Source organism: Homo sapiens, chromosome 17 (assembly GCF_000001405.40).
Source record: "Homo sapiens chromosome 17, GRCh38.p14 Primary Assembly".
NCBI classification, from domain to species: Eukaryota; Metazoa; Chordata; class Mammalia; order Primates; family Hominidae; genus Homo; species Homo sapiens.
Genome location: NC_000017.11, coordinates 63098297 through 63118157, shown reverse-complemented (window position 1 = coordinate 63118157; position 19861 = coordinate 63098297). Strand labels below are relative to the sequence as shown.

The 19861-nt window shown below is 35.2% G+C and overlaps 1 protein-coding gene across 21 annotated transcripts in view; it reads right to left on the bottom strand.

Annotated features, from left to right (window-relative positions):
* The window catches only part of TANC2 (tetratricopeptide repeat, ankyrin repeat and coiled-coil containing 2), a 461469-nt gene that overhangs the window by 309546 nt on the left and 132062 nt on the right, over positions 1 to 19861 (bottom strand). For 14 of the 21 annotated variants that reach the window (XM_011524597.3, NM_001394998.1, XM_006721810.4 and 11 more), the window contains exon 4: positions 18801 to 18983. In XM_011524597.3, coding sequence (XP_011522899.1) covers positions 18801 to 18983 — 183 coding nt within the window. Of the gene's footprint in view, positions 1 to 555; positions 18984 to 19861 lie in introns of those variants that run through there. The other 7 variants (XM_011524601.3, XM_047435732.1, XM_011524602.3 and 4 more) reach the window with 2 other exon arrangements.

Below are 19861 nucleotides of genomic sequence, written 5' to 3'. Positions count from 1 at the left end.
CCATATTGTTATTTTTTAAAAAAGGTATTTTATTTATAAGGATACTGCAACAGGAAGTAGAGCTCTATTCTGGAATTGCAATCTAACAGGAGAGACAATCTAACCTTCACATTTACATTGAAAAATTGAGTTTTTAACAGGCTTCTCTGCAATGCATATTCTTTTTTAAAATATAAAACCATTTCAAAAGGTTCATATATGCATATAAATATATAAAGCAAAAGAACACACAATTAAAAATTAAATAAATGTGCCAAAATACAGCTTCTTAATGGCTTCCTTGAAAACTAGATGTCAAATTATCTTAGGCTGTGTTTATTTTTCTATAAAGAACAAAGTAGACTTTACAGCTCAGAAATCCACGTAACAAATACTCTACTCATCATACTCACAGGTTTTAGTTTTTCTTCCTCACTAGTCAATACTACAGAGTCTTTTCCCCTAGAAAAGCTGAAAGGCTTCTTATTCACTGGTCATGTTGTTATCAGACCTGACACATCAGGAATGACCCACACTTTAATCTCCAGCCAGCTCTTTACGCTGCCCAGAACTTACTGTGCGTTACAGGTGATACTTCTTATAGCAGATGTTGATTATGGTCCCAAAGCACAAGAGATGCTCCCAAAGGGGTTTAGAACCCCTAACAACATCACCTGCTTCTTTTTGTATCCAGAGAAGCACTGTGGTATTCTGTTTTGAACAACTAATGATTTCAAGAGATTACACAGACGAGTTCTTTTCATTAGATTGGTTGACATAAGCTTGTCCTTTCAGAATACTGCAGCAAATATAGGTTGTATGATTCCATTAGGATAAAAGAAATATTTTTACACAATTTTTCTCTGTGGCGCAGTTTAGTTCACCCTCTGTTAGAGCAAATTACTGGAAGAACTGGTTCTTAGGTTTCTAATGGCGCAGCGTTAACAGAGTGAATGATTCACGGATGTTCTTCTTAACATTCAGGAGTAACAAGGAAGGCTAGCAGTGCAGCCCAGGTCCAGAGCTGATGAATGGTGCAGTGCTGCTGTTGTCATAGCAACCAAGAGGAAAAAAGCAGCACCATATAAGGATCTGTGACATGGATTCTGGGAACAATTTATATTAAAAAGCTGTAAGCTCCTCATGCCTTAAAGCTGTAAACTCCTCTCTTACTGTTTCCTTCTCATGTTTTGCTCTTCTGATTTTCTGAATCAGAGCTGTGTGAATATACGCTGTAAAACAGTTACTTAGTAGGCACCAACAAAAAATGCAATTGAGGTAATTTAAAATATTAATACTTTAGCAAGCTAATATAGGTCTGCAGTATCTCCATAATTTATTAAGTGTTAAAATTATACAGTGATTTTGTTGCAATGTAAGGAACTGTCTAGAGTTTGAGATAGCAGAAAATTCATTTTTAAATACTTAGAGATATTAAAACCCTAATTAAATGCCTTTCATTCAGATGGTATGCATCAGATATGCCAAAACTGCAGCACTATCAACTGATTGACTAATAAAGTAGCAATGACACCAATTTCAAAGAGAGGCATACTATCACCTGTATTCCTTCTAGATAAAGAAAGTTTCAAAAGACACTTACTTCACTAAAAATGCTCATAGCCTTCATTCATGAACAAGAAAACTTCTCCGTCAATCACTTGTAAGACAGGGTTACTGGTCCACTCCATGCTTCTAAAGGCCTCTCCCTAACTGGGCCTGGACAATCGTTTTCTTGTCATAGTTTTCCCTCACCTCCCAGGAATTAGGAAGAGCTCCCCCTTCCAGGGGATAGTAGGATAGCTTCCAAACGGTATCACAGGAGAAGAGGGAGCCAGTGAAAGCACCAATGCATAGAATTGTCGTAATGGTACTCTCTCTATAGTCTTCTGGATGTTGCTCTGAGATGACTGGTGCAGAAAAATATCTTTCATTAGATTTATTAAGCATGGGTCACTGATGCTATGATATTTCATCTATTTATATAGGGTAGTTCTATATGAAATTGTTCTATATCATATCTCTGTGTTACTTTTCCATCACCATTTATTTAATGCAATATTCAGATACAATACAAAGCAAAATATTAGGTAAATTTACCTATTATACCATTCTCTTACATGGGCAACACTGCCATTATAATACCAATTCTGGAAAAGTTACGTATTTGTTGGTCATAGATTTATGATGCATTTATCTCCATAAATGAAGAACCTCAGTAAAATGTGACTAAAAAGAATTGCAATGTAGTGGGATGGACATGCATTTGACTAGTCTTGACTGTAGTTGGACTAACAGCTTTGCTACTTCTAAATATAACCCTGAGTAAGGCACCTAACTACTCTGACCCACTGATTCATCTCAGTAAAGCATTTTCTACCTTATTCCTAAAGCTACTGTGGGAATAGAAAAAAATAAATACAAAGCAAAGGCTTAAAATTCTAAACATCTATATTATCTTTTTTAATAGTATCTAAGCAAAACAGCAAAGAAAAATGAAAAGTGGAATTTCAATAGAACTCCATAAACACAGAAAATTGCCTGAAAGGGTAAATATTTTTCCAGGCTAGGTTTTATGTTTGACTGGATATTGTGTCCCATCACACTGCATATACTTTTCACAAGTAGCTAGTAGCTATTTCTTTTTAGAATTATAGTAGATACAGATACTGCGGACTAGCGTTCAAGGATTATTTAATATAATAATGTACAAGTAATTCTACTGCCTCAACATGACTTATAAATGTCTTCAGAAAATAGTAACTTGGTAATAAAGAAGTATAAGTGGTTTCTATGGAATGGTTAATATCAAAGAACATGCAAAGTGATTGAGTTGTTTAAAATAACCTATTACTTTTTATCCTACCTAACTAGAAAACTGTAGGGCAAACTCAAAAATGAGCTATTATGTTTGACTTGGAAATTCCATGGACAGCCTATCTCATTCTGTTTCCTGGATAATCTAATCTCTTCTACCTAGTAAGTTTTTTAACTCAAATATTGTCTTGTGCCAGTAGTTATTTTTGAGGGAAATTCTCTTCAGTTGTGACTTTTTAGAATACTAATTATTCAATATCTTAGGTAAAAAGAGCAACTTTCTCTCCCACCTCCCCATCATCAAGTCATGTTGAGCAGATCTTTGCATTAGAGAGATACCAGAAAAGTTCTGCAAAAAATGTAAACTTGGACAACAAATAATTTTTTCTAACGTTGCTTATGCTGTGTAGGAGCTAACTGGGATGAGGACATGATTAAAATACTTCAAAAGACAAAGTACACAGGTTTTGTTTTGCTTGAAAAATTGGATTTAACTTAAGGGTGGAGAGAGATTTAAGGAGTTAAGCTCTTCCCCTTGGTTACTAATTTTTAACTCCTTTATGATTAATTTAGGTAAGTCATGCTAAAACTTATACAGTTTTACATTCTTTTTTATTTTTATTCTTTTTTCAGTCTTGCTATATTAAAAGCTTTCTCTAAGGAGTAATCATCCGTGCTAAACTCTATTGTGCTTAAAGGTAGGGTAATATTTATGAAGAGATGTACATACGAAATCTCTATTCTCACAGGAGTTAAGAAAGTAACCATTCTACTAGCTATAGCAATTCAAGCTTTGGCCAACTTTCTACGCGGGGTTGTGTCTTTCCTAGCAATGGCTACTGCTTCAGATCAGGACTTCAATCTGCAGCAGTAGGGTAATGAGTGACAGAGAAGAAAAAGAAATATATTCTTAAAAATCATATATGTGATCCCTATACATCAGCCAACTACTTCATCTGGTGGTCAAAGAAAAAGAGAGTAAAGAGTAAAATAGTTACAACTCTAAAGGATAAACTGGCAGGGTTGGATATACTGAGAAGCAGTATTTCTGTTTAATGAATGTCGTGAATGATATGTAATGGATTTCTGAGGATAATTTTCTTTATACTCAGTTTTTATTTTATATGTTGACTTTACTATCTAAACCCTGAATAAAATTATCCCAAATGTGTGATGCTACCTCTAAATGATAATTGTAACATTTGAAAAAGGTCATGAGTTGGCAGGTGGTTCTTTCAGAATGTTTTTATTGATAAGCAGGGCATAAAAGGGCATACTGAGCCATAAGATACACATATCAAATCTCCTTTCTCTCACTTTACTTACTTCATTAATCTAAAGTTATAAAATTTACTGAATGATATAGATGTATACATAATTTTTTCTAAAAATCGTTTTCAGAAATCAGAAACATGAACATTAACCAGAAATGGGGAAAACAGAGATGTTCAACCAACTCTGGTATAACTCAAAACACTGCTCATTGTGCTATCTAAACAAAGTCATCAAAACAGATAATACCACATAGACAATTCTAAAATGACCATATTTCTTGGCTGGGCACAGTGGTTCACACCTGTAATCTCAGTGCTTTGGGAGACCGAGGTGAGAGGGTTGCTTGAGCCCAGGACTTTAGACCAGCCTGGGCAACATAGCAAGACCCCATCTCTACAAAATAATGAAAAAATTAGCCAGGTATGGTGGTGCACGCCTGTAGTCCCAGCTACTCAGGAGGCTGAGGTGGGAAGATCTCTTGACCCCAGGAGGTTGAGGCTGCAATGAGCAGTGATTGTGCCACCACACTCCAGTCTGGGTGACAAAGCAGGACTCTGTGTCTTAAGAAAAAAATAAGTAAAATGAAATAACCACATTTCTTAACTTTTGAAATTCTGCCCACGACATGAATGACTGACGGACAAGGTAAGGATGCGCATTTACAATTAAGAAAGGCCAGCTGAACTGAAAATGTCCTCTGGAACACTCTGCCCTCTGGTGTTTAAAATCCTCCTCTAAGAGAGGGAGTTACTCTGCCATGCCACGTGTTTATTACTCTTATGGGCTGAATGTCAATTTGGGTGCATAATTTTCTATAATGAGAATAAATATATAGTTTAGCATTATAAAAATTTCTGTTGTTATAATGTGAACATATATTCTGTTCTAAGCTTTATATTATCCCATACTATAATTTATTTCCTGTTTAGAGAGTTACTAAGGCTTTCTTTTGAATCGTGGATATTTATTTGACTTTTGTGATGCTTTGTGACTGAAAAGTATTCCTCATGGCCAAAATTGTTTAGCCCTTAAATTCCACATTTGCCACTTTCTAAACTGCTCACATTCCATAGCAGGTGGGAAGTTAAGCAAGTAAAGAAGGACAAGGTCAATTAAGTAAAAAAATTAGACTTCCTAGGGACCATGGCATAAATCATGGTGAGTTTTCTGGGGAAGGTCACAGAAGAAGGATGGACAATGAAGGATTTTTTTCTGTAATCTTCATGGTATTTTCCATGTTTAAAACTGATACCCAATTCTTGGAAACACAACACAGGAGCTAAAAAGGATATTAATCAAGTGATTGACAACTTTTTCACATGTTAGGATTCTTTTTATTATTTCCCCTTGTTTGTCACAAGAAGTGCTTGGCACAAAAAGAAACTCTACACACATTTCTGTATTCCTCTCAGCCTTAAGGTGTTATTATCTTCACTGTACATATGAAGAAACAGAAGATCAAAAAGAACTAATCTGCCCAGAGTTTACAAATGACTATGTAGAACTCTAAACGGGTTCTTCGTTCAGCTGGGTTCTTGACCAGTGTGACCCTATCAGTTCTTTGGGTCCTAGAGTTCTGAGCCTTAACCCTGCCACATTACAGACATTCCATAAAGATCTGTTGAAAAACAACATTACCTTACACAGTGACCTCAATGTTAGACATTTTTCTTGGTGCTGACTACTTGTCCTCCCTGGAACTTTGCCTACTGCCTCCCCCTAGATTCCCTTGGATTAACAGGTTCCACTTACTTCCTGTGACACCTAACAATTACCCTACTGCTGATCCACCCTAATCTTTAGGGTCTGCTTATGCATCTACTTCATGAGTGCTACCACACTGTTATCTTACTAACTTGCCTTCTCCATCTCAGGTCCTAGGTGTCCTTGGTTTGACCCTTCATTGGTCACAGCACTAAAAGGAATGCTGGACCGTCAATTCAACACTTCAGATTTAGGCAAACATTTCTTTAAAAATGTAGAGAAAAGAAGCTATGAGCCCATGGTCAATAATTTTAAAAGAGAATATGGTTTGAGGGTATAGATTAAAAATAAAAAGCAATGGCCGGGCGCGGTGGCTCACGCCTGTAACCCCAGCACTTTGGAAGGCCGAGGCGGGCGGATCACAAGGTCAGGAGATCGAGACCATCCTGGCCAACATGGTGAAACCCCGTCTCTACTAAAAATACAAAAATTAGCTGGGCATGGTGGTGCACGCCTGTAATCCCAGCTACTCAGGAGGCTGAGGCAGGAGAATCACTTGAACCTGGGAGGCGGAGGTTGCAGTGAGCTGAGATTGTGCCACTGCACTCCAGCCTGGTGACAGAGTGAGATACAGTCTCAAAAAAATAAATAAATAAAATAAAAAGCAATTTATACAATCATAAACATATGGAAGCATCTAAAAAAATATTGCCATATCAGAAATTTTTTGATAAAGACAGATTGTGCCTGAAAAAGAAATATACAAAGAGAGGGGGAAATAATCAAAGATGAAGAGTAGAAAACCATAATCAAAGATGAAGAGTAGAAAACCATCTAACAATATTGTCCACGAAGAATAGAGCCCCAGTTGAGAAGAGCTATGTTTTGAAGATAGCAAAAAGGATTGCTGGGATGTTTTTAGAATTAAAAAACAGACAAGGACAGGACAGATCTGCTGCATGGGAAAGATAAATTATGTAGTGATTTTATTATAAGCTTTCATTTATGAATCACCTTCTACGAGCTAAACTCTTTACTAAGTTCTTGACACACATCTTATTTAATTAATTACTTTTTTGGCAGGGAGACAGAGTCTCACTCTGTCAGTGGTGCTATCTCAGCTCACTGCAACCTCCACCTCTCGGGTTCAAGCGATTCTCCAGCCTCAGCCTCCCGAGTAGCTGGGATTACAGGTGCATGCCACCACACCCAGCTAATTTTTTTTGTATTTTTAGTAGAAACAGGATTTTGAGATGTTGCCCAGGCTATTCTCAAACTCCTGAGCTCAGGAAATCCTCCACCTTGGCCTCCCAAATTGCTGGGATTACAGGTGTGAGCCACCATTCCCGGCCATGATATCTTACTTAATCCATACAATACTCTGTGATGCAGAAATACCAATAATACAATACAGGTAACAAAACATACTCAGAGTAGTCAAGTGACACGGCCAAGGTCATACAGTTAATAAGTAGCAAAGTCACGGTTTCAACCAAGTATATCTGACTCCAAAGTCTGCCATGTTTAACAATATCCTGCTCTAAGTAAGAGACAGAACAATCCATTACTCAACCCTTGGTGCTATGGTTTGAACGTGTCCTCCAAAATTCAGGTGTTGAAATTTAAAGGCCAGTATGACAGTAGAAAGAGGTAGAACCCTTAAGCGGTAGTTAAGCCATATAAAGGCTCCTCCCTTTGTGGCTGGGATTAAGACCTTATCAAAGAGGCTACAGAGTTAGGTTATGTCACACCTCCATCTTCCCTCAGGTGTGGACGAAATGTCCCTCCCTCCTGGAAGATGCAGCAACAAGGTGTTATCTTGGAAGCAGACAGCAGCCCTCACCAGACAACCAAACCTGCTGGTGCCTTGATCTTAGACTTCCCAGCCACCAGAACTGTGAGAAAATAGATTTCTGTTCTTTATGAATTACCCAGTCCCAGAGGTTTTTTCTTATAGCAACCTAAACAAATTAAGACAACTCTGATTTTGCTTTAATGTTCTCCATTAAGAAAATTATATTTAATAAACATCATTAAGAGGACATTAAAGACCAAGTTTTGAGGACAAGTTAAAATACACATAATCAAAATCCAGACCCACACAATTTACCTTTCAGAATTCTAAAAGGACAGGAAGACATGAACATGAAACTACCAATAACAGTTTCTGTAAAGCCATGCAGGAACTTCACAGAACTACAGGACTAAAGGATGTCAAAATGTGGACACTAGGAGTTTCTATTCAATTTCTCAAAAGAAAAAAAATGCTCACTGAAAGTTGATAAGGGGTCACAAGGAAGAGTAATTTCAAAGTAATCTCATGCCCATTTTCATATGGTTACTAGAGCAGAAGATGATGAAAATAACACAGCTGTACTACCATCTTGGTATCAGACAGGCTGTAAATAAAGTCTTTTAAGCTACAGAAAAGTAGACATCATGGCTGCTTTCCAGGATATAAAAGACTGCCACGTGAAAGAAGAGGTTAATTTATGTCGTATAGTTCTACAAGGCAGAACTAGGACTAATGGGTAGGAGCAATAAAGGAGGACATTTCCATCCATGTAAATTAGAGAACTGACAGTTAAAACTACTGAACAAAGGAGCAGGCTATGTTACAAAGAAGAAAGCTCACTATCACTGAAAGTGTTCACACAGAGACTGTTGACTATCCACTAAGTTTGCTGTGAAGATTAAATTTGCTCATATAGGTAAATTACTTAACACTGTCTAGAATAGGGTAACAGCTCAAAAAATATTATCTTTAATTACTACTACTATTATTATAATTATTACTTGTAAGTTTAGCTAAAACTCGCCTGTAAAATCATCTAGGTCTGATGACTCTTGGAGATCTTTGATTTCTATGGTTACCAGGCTAGTCATAATTTTAAGTTTTCTTGAGTCAAATTTACAGCAGTTTTCTTCCATCTCATTCAAGGTTTTTTTGTGTGTATTGTTTTGCTATAAAGCTATATGCTGTATTCCCTTATAATAAAAAGATTAGTGACTAATTTCTTGTTCTGTATGTTCTGTATGTTATCTTTTCTCACTCCCTCTTTTTCATTTTGATCACTTCTATCAAAGATTGCTCTATTATCTTAGTCTTTTCAAGGAAACTGGCTTTACTGATCAAGTACTAGTTTTTTGCTTATTCATTTTCCCTTTTAACTTTATTGATTACTTCATGTTTACTATGTCTTCCTCGATCTCCTTATTAGTTCATTTATTTTCAGTACTTCTTGTTTTCTAATAAAAGTATTCAAGGTAATGACTTTTCCATAGAGTACCACTTTGGCTACATTTCATAAGTTTTAATACATAATACATGTTAATTTCCAACTTTTTTTTCAATTTTGGTTTCTGTTTTAACCCAAAAGTTATTTTAAAAAGTTATTTTAAAACTTTAAAATTTTAGAAGTAGAAAAGAAATTTCTCCCTATCTTCTTTGTTGTTAGATTCTATTTTGATTTTCAATGAAAAATATGTGCATTGTACAGAGATTTCTTTATGGCCAACTATATAATCAACTTTTTAAAATTTTTTATTTTTATTTATTTATTTATATTTTTTTTGAGATGGAGTCTTGCTCTGTCACCAGGCTGGAGTGCAGCCGCATGATCTTGGCTCACTGCAACCTCTGCCTCACGGGTTCAAGGGATTCTCCTGCCTCAGCCTCCCAAGGAGCTGGGACTACAGGCACATGACACCACACCCAGCTGATTTTTGTATTTTTAGTAGAGATGGAGTTTCACCATGTTGGCCAGGATGGTCTCGATCTCTTGGCCTCTGATCTGCCCGCCTCGGCCTCCCGAAGTGCTGGGATTACAGGCGTGAGCCACAACGTCTGGCCTATAATCAACTTTTATAAACAGTTCACAAGTGCTGGAAAACAATACAAGTATAAGAAATCTTATGTTTTTCAGTATGAGGTTCTACACTCGGCTGAATTAAGCTTTTAAAAACTTGACACATATTAACTTTACATATTTATGGGGTATATGTAATATCTGGATACAGGCATATAATATGTAATGATCAAATCAGGGTAACTGAGATATCCATCACCTCAAACACTTATTTCTTTTTGTTTAGAACATTCCAAGTATTTTAGCAATTCTGAAATATAATGAGTTAAGTTTAATTGCTTATTATTCAAATTATCCATATCCTTTAATGAGCTGTTCATTTTATGAGGCATGAAATCTGCCTTAACTCATTTATGCCTAGTGTTCCACTATTGGAACGCTAAGCTTGTGGGAGTTATTTATATCCTACTGCTCAAGGTCATGGCCAAGGTCTGATTTTTGACATGAAAAAATTTGTAGCCTCTGGCATAAATGGGTTAAATATAAATTCATCAACTTTCCCTTTCATTGCTAATGTTTACTATATGAAGTTTTTATTTTTAAAAAACTTCCTTATTGAGATATAAGTACAATTTAATGGATTTAGTTCATTCACAGAGTTGTACAATTGTCAGCATAATCTAAGTTTAGAACATTTTCATCACCCCAAAATGAAACCCTATACCCTTAAGCATTCACTACCTATACCATCGTTGGTGACCCCTTTCCCTTAGGTAACCACCAATTAACATTCTGTCTCTATAGATTACTTGCCTATTCTGGACATTTCATATAACTGCAATTGTATAACATATGTTCTTTTGTGACTGGTTTCCTTCACTTAGTGTAACGTTTTCAAGGTTCACCATGGATCATGAAAGCATTTATTTTTAATGCCAAATAATACGAATATATCACTTTTTATTTATCCACTCATCAGCTGATGAACATCAAACTGTTTTCACTCTTTGGCTATTATGAATAATGCTGCTATGAACATACATGTACAAGTTTTGGTGTGAACATATGTTTTCTTTTCTCTTGGATAACTTTATACATTTTGATGCCATGTTGTCTCATGCATAAAAAAGCAATAATCGTTAACATCTACTTCATGAATTGTATCTGCATAAAATATCAAATAAAACTTTTTTATTTGTGTTTAATATTATTGCAAATAATACTATCCTTTTCTCAACATTTATTTGGTATATATTTTTCATTCCTTTATTTGTAAGCTTCCTCTCAATTTGTTTAGAAGCATCTATTATAAATAACACTCCCTGGAAATGCTTTTTATACATTCTGATAACTTTGTCTTTATAAGGGAAACTGAAATCACTTTCTTGTGACAAGCAACTTATTTTATCTTATTTGACTTTTAAAAATATTTTTCTTATTGTTTTTCTTCCATTCCAATTTTCATCATAACCTTGCAAATCATCTAACCTGACAGAAATGAAACCACTTCATCTTAAAAGTATCAATGACTTGTTATTTTGGCTCTCTCTTCATTAAGGGTCATTTGGGCACTTTCGCAAACTTTCCCTAGTGGTGGCTGAATAGAGGTAGGAAGACAAGGCTACTATATTTCAAAAGAATACATACAGTAATACTACACTTACTACAAATAATCCTTTTATAAATAAACACTACAATACTATAAATAAAACTTTCACTTTGTATGAGTGACTTCCATTCAAATATGAAAAGAAAAAAAACTAGAAAATTACTTTCTTGTCTAAAACCTCACAGGTTAAATATAAAAAGAGAAGGTTTAATTATTTTGAAATCCAGTGTGTGCAAATATCACAAAAGGATTATTTGTTTGATAATTCATGCCGCCTTTTAGGTGTTCAACATATACGCAGTGGCAAAGGCTCACCCCTTAACCAAACTTTAGTCAGGTTCCTCTGATACCTCTTTTCAACGTTCTTGCGTGGGCCTTGTCCTCACGCCTCCTGGCCCAGTTGTAGCAAGAATCCTGCTAACTCAGTTTAGTGAGAATCCCCCTACCCTTGATAATCTGGTCAACATGGCTTGCCTTCAGCAAGGCACTGTTTAGTTGGTTCGGCAATAATCCCCTTACTCTTGAAGCTTCCTCTTAATAATTTTCCATCCACTGATTCTATCCTCTGCCCCACTCTGCTCCTTAGCTATAAATCCCCAACATTCTTTACTATATTCAGAATTGAGCCCAGTTCTATACTATTGCAATAGAGCCTTACTAAAATCTGTTTTTACCACTTTACTGTCGAGCTCTGGTTTTCTTTAACAATACTGACTCATGATAATTGAAATTATTATATTGAATTAAGTAATAACCCTCTAACATTCTCTACTTTTGATTTGGAAGACTACAGAAATAACCTCTTCAAGGAAATAAGGGCCCCCCCTTTTTTCCAATCCTACACTGTTTTACAATAGCCTAATCTTTATCTCATAAACCAGAGAATCTGAAGTTAGAAACCAAATTAGAAACAGTACCCTGAATGAGGTCCAGATCTAATAGTTTAATTAGTCTATTATTCCAAAAGAGCTTAAAAGTCTTAGTATATATTTCCTCATTTAACCTTACAAAAACATGTGGTCTCTAACAGTTAGTAATGATGGAACTTAAGACTACCATGCATGTCTCCTATATTTTTTAATCTAACAAATTCATTATACTATATTATGAATTCCAATGTTTATCCTAAAATTGCAAGATATTTACTCAGATGCCACAGTATTATAAGTATGCTGAAATAAATCTTGACTATAGAGACTAATACTATCTACAGGCCCTTTATATTTTCCAATTCACTTTTCAGTAATTTTTCCAGGATGTTTATAAAACAAGACTATGTTTCCATTTTTTCCAAGATATAAATGAGAAGAAAAATAATATTTGTTAATGTTTGTTATGTTAGACTATATGTTTAAGAAATCTTATTTAATCTTTGCAGCAATTCTGTATTTTTTTCCCATCATAAAATTCACCACAGTACATCTTGAATTCTAGTAGGTTTTCAAAAATTGCAGGATAAGTATATTATTATGCAAAGAACATATCATGAATATACTAAAATATATCAGACTATGTAGAATAACACTATGTATAGGCCCTTTTCAATGTCAAAAGAGCTTTTCAAAGATTTCCCCAGGATGTTTCTGGAACAAGTAAATGTTTCCTTTTTATTCATGGCTTTGGCCATAGCTAGCATCTAAAATATCCAGGCTCAGCATGATCAAATCAGTTATTGTGACTTATTTACCATCCAAATTGGATTGCCACATGGTCATTCCAATTTATTGGCAACAAATACTTTGAAAATCAGGCCATTTTTTATCCCAGAGATTAGATAATAATCTATTTGATGTTGGTATTTGAAGATTACTCCTCAGAAAAGTAGACTGACTGACTTAGCGTAATTGTTTCTTGAAGGCTACCTTGCAAAAGCTCAGAACACATATTTGACATAGCTGATAAACACTCAATACCCACATCTCTTTAGAAACTATAATAATAATTTAGCTAACATTTTGACTACTTACTCTATGCCAGACGCTGTCTTACGTGCTTTACATGTACTAATTAATCTAATTCTCTTATTACTCCTATGGGGTAGATACTATTATCAACCCTAGTTTAGAAATAAGGGAATTGAAGTACAGAGACTTTAAACAAATTTGAGCGAGATTACAGAGTCAGGAAATGACAGGGTTCATTTTGTTATACTGTCTCAAGAGATTTTGCATTTTATACAAGATAAGACTTACAGAAAGCTATACAGCACAACTTATGTCATCCCTCTCCCACTTCCGAGTAAGAGTTATCTCTCTAGGCTACCAACAAACGCATGCATGTGTGTATGTATGTCTGCATATGTATCATTTAAAAACACACATGGGTTCCTATTGAGAAATATTTGGATTTTCATTTTTTGCTATATAAACAATATCACATATAGTACGCACATACATACACATTTTCAAATCTGATCAAGCTTATTTGTAAAACAAACTCCTAGTAATAAGATTGGTGTATTAAGGATTATGTGCCTTATAATTTTGATACATATTGTCAAATTGCCATAAAAATGGTTGTACCAGTTTTCACCCCTACCCAAAGTATGTATATGCAAAATTTAAGTTTTACTAAATTTAACAAATGTACATAATGGGTAAATAATATAAATTCCGTAAGAGTTGAATGAATGAAGTTTTAGCATCCTTAATCATCTATCTATGCTGAGGATCTTTATGATACTATGGGAAAGCATCTTGGAAGGAGCACTGGGCAAGAATCTAGAGACCACAGGGAGCCTCTGCTTACTCTTTTCCACATCGCCCCCAAAGCACAGCAATACCTAAGTAAGCCCAACGAACCTTGAAACCTGCCCAATTTTTAGGTCTTCTTTACTGCTTAAACCATTTGGCTGTATCTTTTATTACTTGAAACAATAAAAATCTTAATTGATATACTAGATGCTCCGGATGAGCTATTTAATTTCACTAAACCTTGATTTTCTTCTTGGTAAAATGAGACACATGTGGAGGGACTGGGGATTAATCCTAACTCTGACCGCTGCCTAGCTGTATTATCCTCCACAAGACATTTTACTTTCAGCAAGACATTTACCTCTCTATGAACTTAATTTGCTCATCTGTAAAGTGGAGACACCAGTGACAAAAACACAAGCTAATAAGAGTATGCCACACAACAGGCATTATAATGAAAATTATTGTCATTATTATTGCTATTACTCATTAAAAAGTGCGACTTTAAAAACATATGAAGCTTTAAAGTTCCCACTGGTATCTAACATGAAAAGCAATTTTTACAAATTTCTCAACAAATTTTATTAACAATAACGGCTAACACTTTCTGAGCCCTTAAACACGGTTTTTAAAAAGTATAAAACAATGTGATTATAAGAATAAGACAAACACCCATGAAGTCGGTTGTATTATTGTTATCCCCATTTTACAGATGAAGAAACAGAAGCAAACAGTCGTGACGTGACACTCAGAGCTGGGATATAAACCCAAACAGTCGGACCACAAAGTCTATGTCTCTCTTGAACACATTTACTACATTAACTTATTTTTGTACTGAATAGAGTGAGGTGTGTATACATTTAAAAATTAGTTTTCAAGCTCTAAACTATATCTATTCTTGAGCTGGTCTTTACCCATTCTTACTCCCTCCAGACTGAAAATGAGTCAAACTATTTGGAAATGGACCTATATCTGCAAATGAGTCTTTATATACACCGGCATGGAAGACTAAGATAAATATGTTAAGAGTATAAAGGTTACAGAGTAACAATGATAGGAAAAGGATACTCCTTTGTCATATCTTACAAAATGAAAACATAAGTACCCACCTTATTAGAAGTGGAGACAATGACTAATAATGACTATTTAAAGATCAGGAAAACCTATGTGGCTGTCCCCCAGTATCCATGGGGGACTGGTTCCAGGACCTTCCTTGGATTATGCTCAAATCCTTGATATGAAATGGCACAGTGTTTGCATATAACCTAGGCACATATTTCTGTATACTTCAAATCCTTTCTAAATTACTTATAATATCTAATACAATGTAAATGCCATGCAAATAGTTGTTAGACTGTATTGTTTAGGGATTATAAAAAAATCTACATGTTCAGTACAGATGGTTTTTTTAAGAAAAATATTTTCAATCTGTGTTTGGTTGAATCCATGAATTCAGAGGGCTGACTGCACAAGGCTAATGAATATGTGATACTCTAGTCCCTCATACTTCATTCTCTACATACATGCCAACAAGATTCAATTACAAGGTAAATTGGATCATACTACTACCTGTTCCTCCTCTGTTTAAAATCGTACAATCCTGGTGTGTGATGTTCCCCTTCCTGTGTCCAGAGGTGGGGGGAGGGAGGAGGGGGGAGGGATAGCATTAGGAAATATACCTAATGTAAATGATGAGTTAATGGGTGCAGCACACCAACATGGCGCATGTATACATATGTAACAAACCTGCACATTGTGCACATGTATCCTAAAACTTAAAGTATAATAAAAATAAATAAATAAAAATAAAAAGGAAAAAACAATAGAGAGAGAATAAATAAGGTAAAAAAAAAAAAATCCTGCAATCAGAGTAGGCTCCTTACCGTGACCCTAAAAACTGTGGCTTCTGCCCACCTCTCCAACTCTTTTTATTTATTTATTTATTTTTATTTTTTTTAGTGGCAGGGTCTTGCTTGTTCTGTTTCCCAGGCCTGAGTGCAGTGGTGCGATCAGAGCTCATTGCAGCTCCACCTCCTGGGCTCAAGCAACACTCCCACCGTAGCCTCCTTGGTAGCTAGGACTACATATGGGTGGCATGCCATGACACCCAGCTATTTTGTTTAAATTATTTGTTGTAGAGACAAGGTCTCATTATGTTGTCCAGGGTGGTCTCAAACTTCTGGCCTCATGCAATCTTCCTGCCTCGGCCTCTGAAAGTGCTGAGATGACAGGTATGAGCCATCGTGCCCCAGCTCTAACTCATTTTCTACTACTGTCCCTTCAGACTTACTCTGCTCAGGCCACACTTGCCTTCTTTCCATTCCTTGAACATGCCAAGCTCATTTCTGCTTTAGGACTTTTGTTCTGACTGTTAGCTCTGCCTGGAAAGCTCCGATCCCAGATCTTCCCATGGCTGGCTCCTTCTTAAATTGAAAACTCAGCTCAATTATCTCCTCCTTTGACTCTCCCCAGTCATTCCATAGAAGGAAACTCTACCTCAACCCCAGTTTCTATCCCCTTCCATATTGCATTACCTTTGTAGTAGTTGCCACCATTTAAAATTCAAGTATTTATTTACTGGCTATGCATTTATTACATCTTCTCTCAACTGAAATATAAAATCCTTGAAGGCAGGGGTCTTAGTGGTCCTTTTCACCACTCTATCATATCTAGAGCAGTGCCTAGGCATGTAATGGGCCTTAGACAAATATCTGTTGAATGATTAAGTAAAAAGCACTGAAGAATAATAAGCAAACTGCTTTTAACTGTGCCAGAGACAAGAGACTATTAGAAAGTCACAAAGAAAATAGAATATGATGACTCTTCTGGCCCTATTCATTCAGTTTGGTTGGTAATATGAATACATACAAGGCACTTGAAAGTTTGAATGTATGGAAATGGAGAAATTACTAAGTGTAGTCCTAATGGCCTGATTAAATTATTGCATTTTGATAATTAATGCCAAGAAAGAACCATTCTTTGGAGAAAATTTCTTTACGGTCGGCTAATTTTTTTCCATTCAACTTTCCTTTTACTTACTTATAACAAGATATAATTAGAAAAGAAGGGGTAACTGATGATTAGGTTAAGAAGGGATAATGGATGAATAATCTACTGAGGTTTTTATTTTGAATTTCAAAGTAATTTCATTCCAGGTTAAACTAGACAATTCTTATCATCTGCTTCACTTGGCAGAAAATTGACCAAAGAAACATTTTCCTGACATACTCTTTCAGTAAAGTTGTTTTCTTCCAAAATTTAAAAATGCATTCTTAATCATTAAATTGCTAGGCCTTTGATAGTCTTCAGTAAATTAAACTATGAGAAATTACAGAAGCTTCAAATACTGTAAAATTAAAACTCAAAAGTTCATACATGTCATTAATCAATTACACTCTGCATTACTGCTTCACTACAATACCTCTGTGATATTAGGTATGTTATTGACTTTGTTATATTTAATAGTTATCTCTTAATAAACGTTGACTATTAAGTTGACATTCAAATTAAGATAGGCAAATGGGATAGGAAAGCGGTATCTCTAAAACTTCAGGCAATCCAGCTCACTTCTACATAGAAACTGGACTTACTATTTTTTCCACTCTGTGTGGTAAAATGAAACACATCACATGACAGCCAACAGATTTGGGATTTTTATATTTTTAGTAATCAATAATACCTTTGACTGTAAAACAGGGAGAATTTCTAAGCACTGAGATTTTATTTAAGCCTAATCACATAAAATTCATCATATTTTTGGACATTAGAAGGGAACTGGTATTTCAGGATATTATGTTTTTAGGCTATTTTACCTATTTTTTTAATCTAATGACCAAAGTGTCTTTAGACTGAAGTATCTAACGGCCAAAGTGACTTTGATTCATTTATTTTTTGAAAATGCCAATAATACACAATGTAAAGAGGCATAATTTATGCTTTGTAGAACTATAGAAGAAATGCTATTATTTTAATGAAAATTATAAACAGTGAAAAAGTTTCACTCTACATAGACAGAAGTGCCCAAAAATTTCATTTCTCATTTTCTTCTGAATTGTCATAATGATAATCAAACTTCTCTACTGTCTAGCTCAATGTCAGACAGGAAACAGTCGACATATCCTTTGTGAATAACTTAATTTCATGCCTCCATGCACTTAGAACCCATCAATACTAGCCAACTTACTGACATCAGGGATATATTGATAATGCTAGAAGAAATCTAACAAAGTGACCCAGGATTACATATTTTCACACATAAGCATTCTTCAACTATATATTAAAATTTATTTCCTGAAAAGACGTAAAAGGACAAAAGTTCATTTAATAAAGCCACAGTTTCACACCTAACAACTTGATCTAAATGGGTAATACATATTGTGAGATCATATTAAAGTCAACATAATCCATAACTTATGAATTATAGTAAATATCCTAAGAAGTTAATGTCCAGTGTAGAGGAAAATATCTAAATTATCTTTTAAAAAAATATATAAAATATACAAATAGCAATTTCAAATAAAATACGACTGATGTACCTTTGCTGAACTATCAAGCTCCTATTATCCTAAAATTAGAATGTCTCCATCTGTTAACCTGACATGAACAAGCTGATAAATGAAATCAGAACAACAGTGTATTCTGGCAAAACCAGGAACTTCCTGAAAACCTAGAAAAATATGTTCACAACAGATGGGTCATTTAGAAAATAAATACATCAATCTGTCAAACTGAGTACTGTTCTAATTCTCTAAATTAAAATCAGTTGGAGTTTTTTTTTTAGTGTCAAGAGTCTGTGACATTAGGAAGGCCAGAGAGGAAAAACCTAAAGATGCAAATATACACATCTGACGTGACCTAAAGTGTCATATCGTTAGGTTTCCTGTTAAACATACTAAATTTAGGTAAAGTCCTTACCAGTTAACTTCTTCACAGGCTGGAGCCGAACACTGATAGACTGATGTGTGAGTAAGGGGGAGGATGGAAGAGAGCGAGACATGCCCTCCATAATCCGAATGTGCTGCATACCTTCACTCACTGGAAGTGGCGGGACAGCGTAGTCTGGCTCAAAAGCACAGTCGCTTTCTGTGGAGATGCCACCTGTTAGAAGGGGATGGAACAAAAGAGCTGGTGAGAAAAGATCCTGCCTTCCCTATTAAAATACATCTTATAGGATAATCCAGAACAACAAATATTTTCACTGTGAAAAATCAAAGTATTTTCACTACATGCATTCATTTCTACACTTACTATGTACTCAATTCCAGGTCTAGCACTACGAAACTGAAGATGAGTAAACTAAGGTTCCTTCTTATAAGGTGTTCACTATCTCATGAGAGATGCAATCATATAAGGAAATACAAGAAAATAATTTCCACATAAGTTGTATAAAGAAATGATCTTACTTTTTTTTCTGATAAGACACACATTAAAGGTATTTATCTGCTTAGCAAGCCATCGTGTGCAATTGCTAGTAGGATCATTGTAACTCTATTTCTTTCTCCCCTCCTCCAAGAAAATACATAAAAATTCAAGTGGGTAAGACTGACATTATTATATAATGATCTTTGAATCTGTTCTAATTTTTAAAAAGAGTAATTACATGCTGTTTACTTCTACTTATATGCTGTTGACTTCCACTTCTGGTAATGGCAGAATTATGTACTTCAGATAAACTTTTCCCAAGGAAAATTAGAACCATAAACATATGGTATAAAATTATATATATATAAATTTTTACATATATATATATATATATACACACAGAGAGAGAGAGAGAGAGAGAGAGAGTGTATGTGTGTGTGTGTGTGTGTGTGTGTGTGTGTGTGTGTGTGTGTGTGTGTAGTCTAAGGCCCACCAAGGGGTGAAAGTGGAGATAGCAAAACTCCAACACTTTTGTTAAAAGCCCAAAGAACTATACTCTAGGAGAAAGTAGGAACTGAAACTTGACTGGTTCTCACAGGGACTAAAGCTCAGCT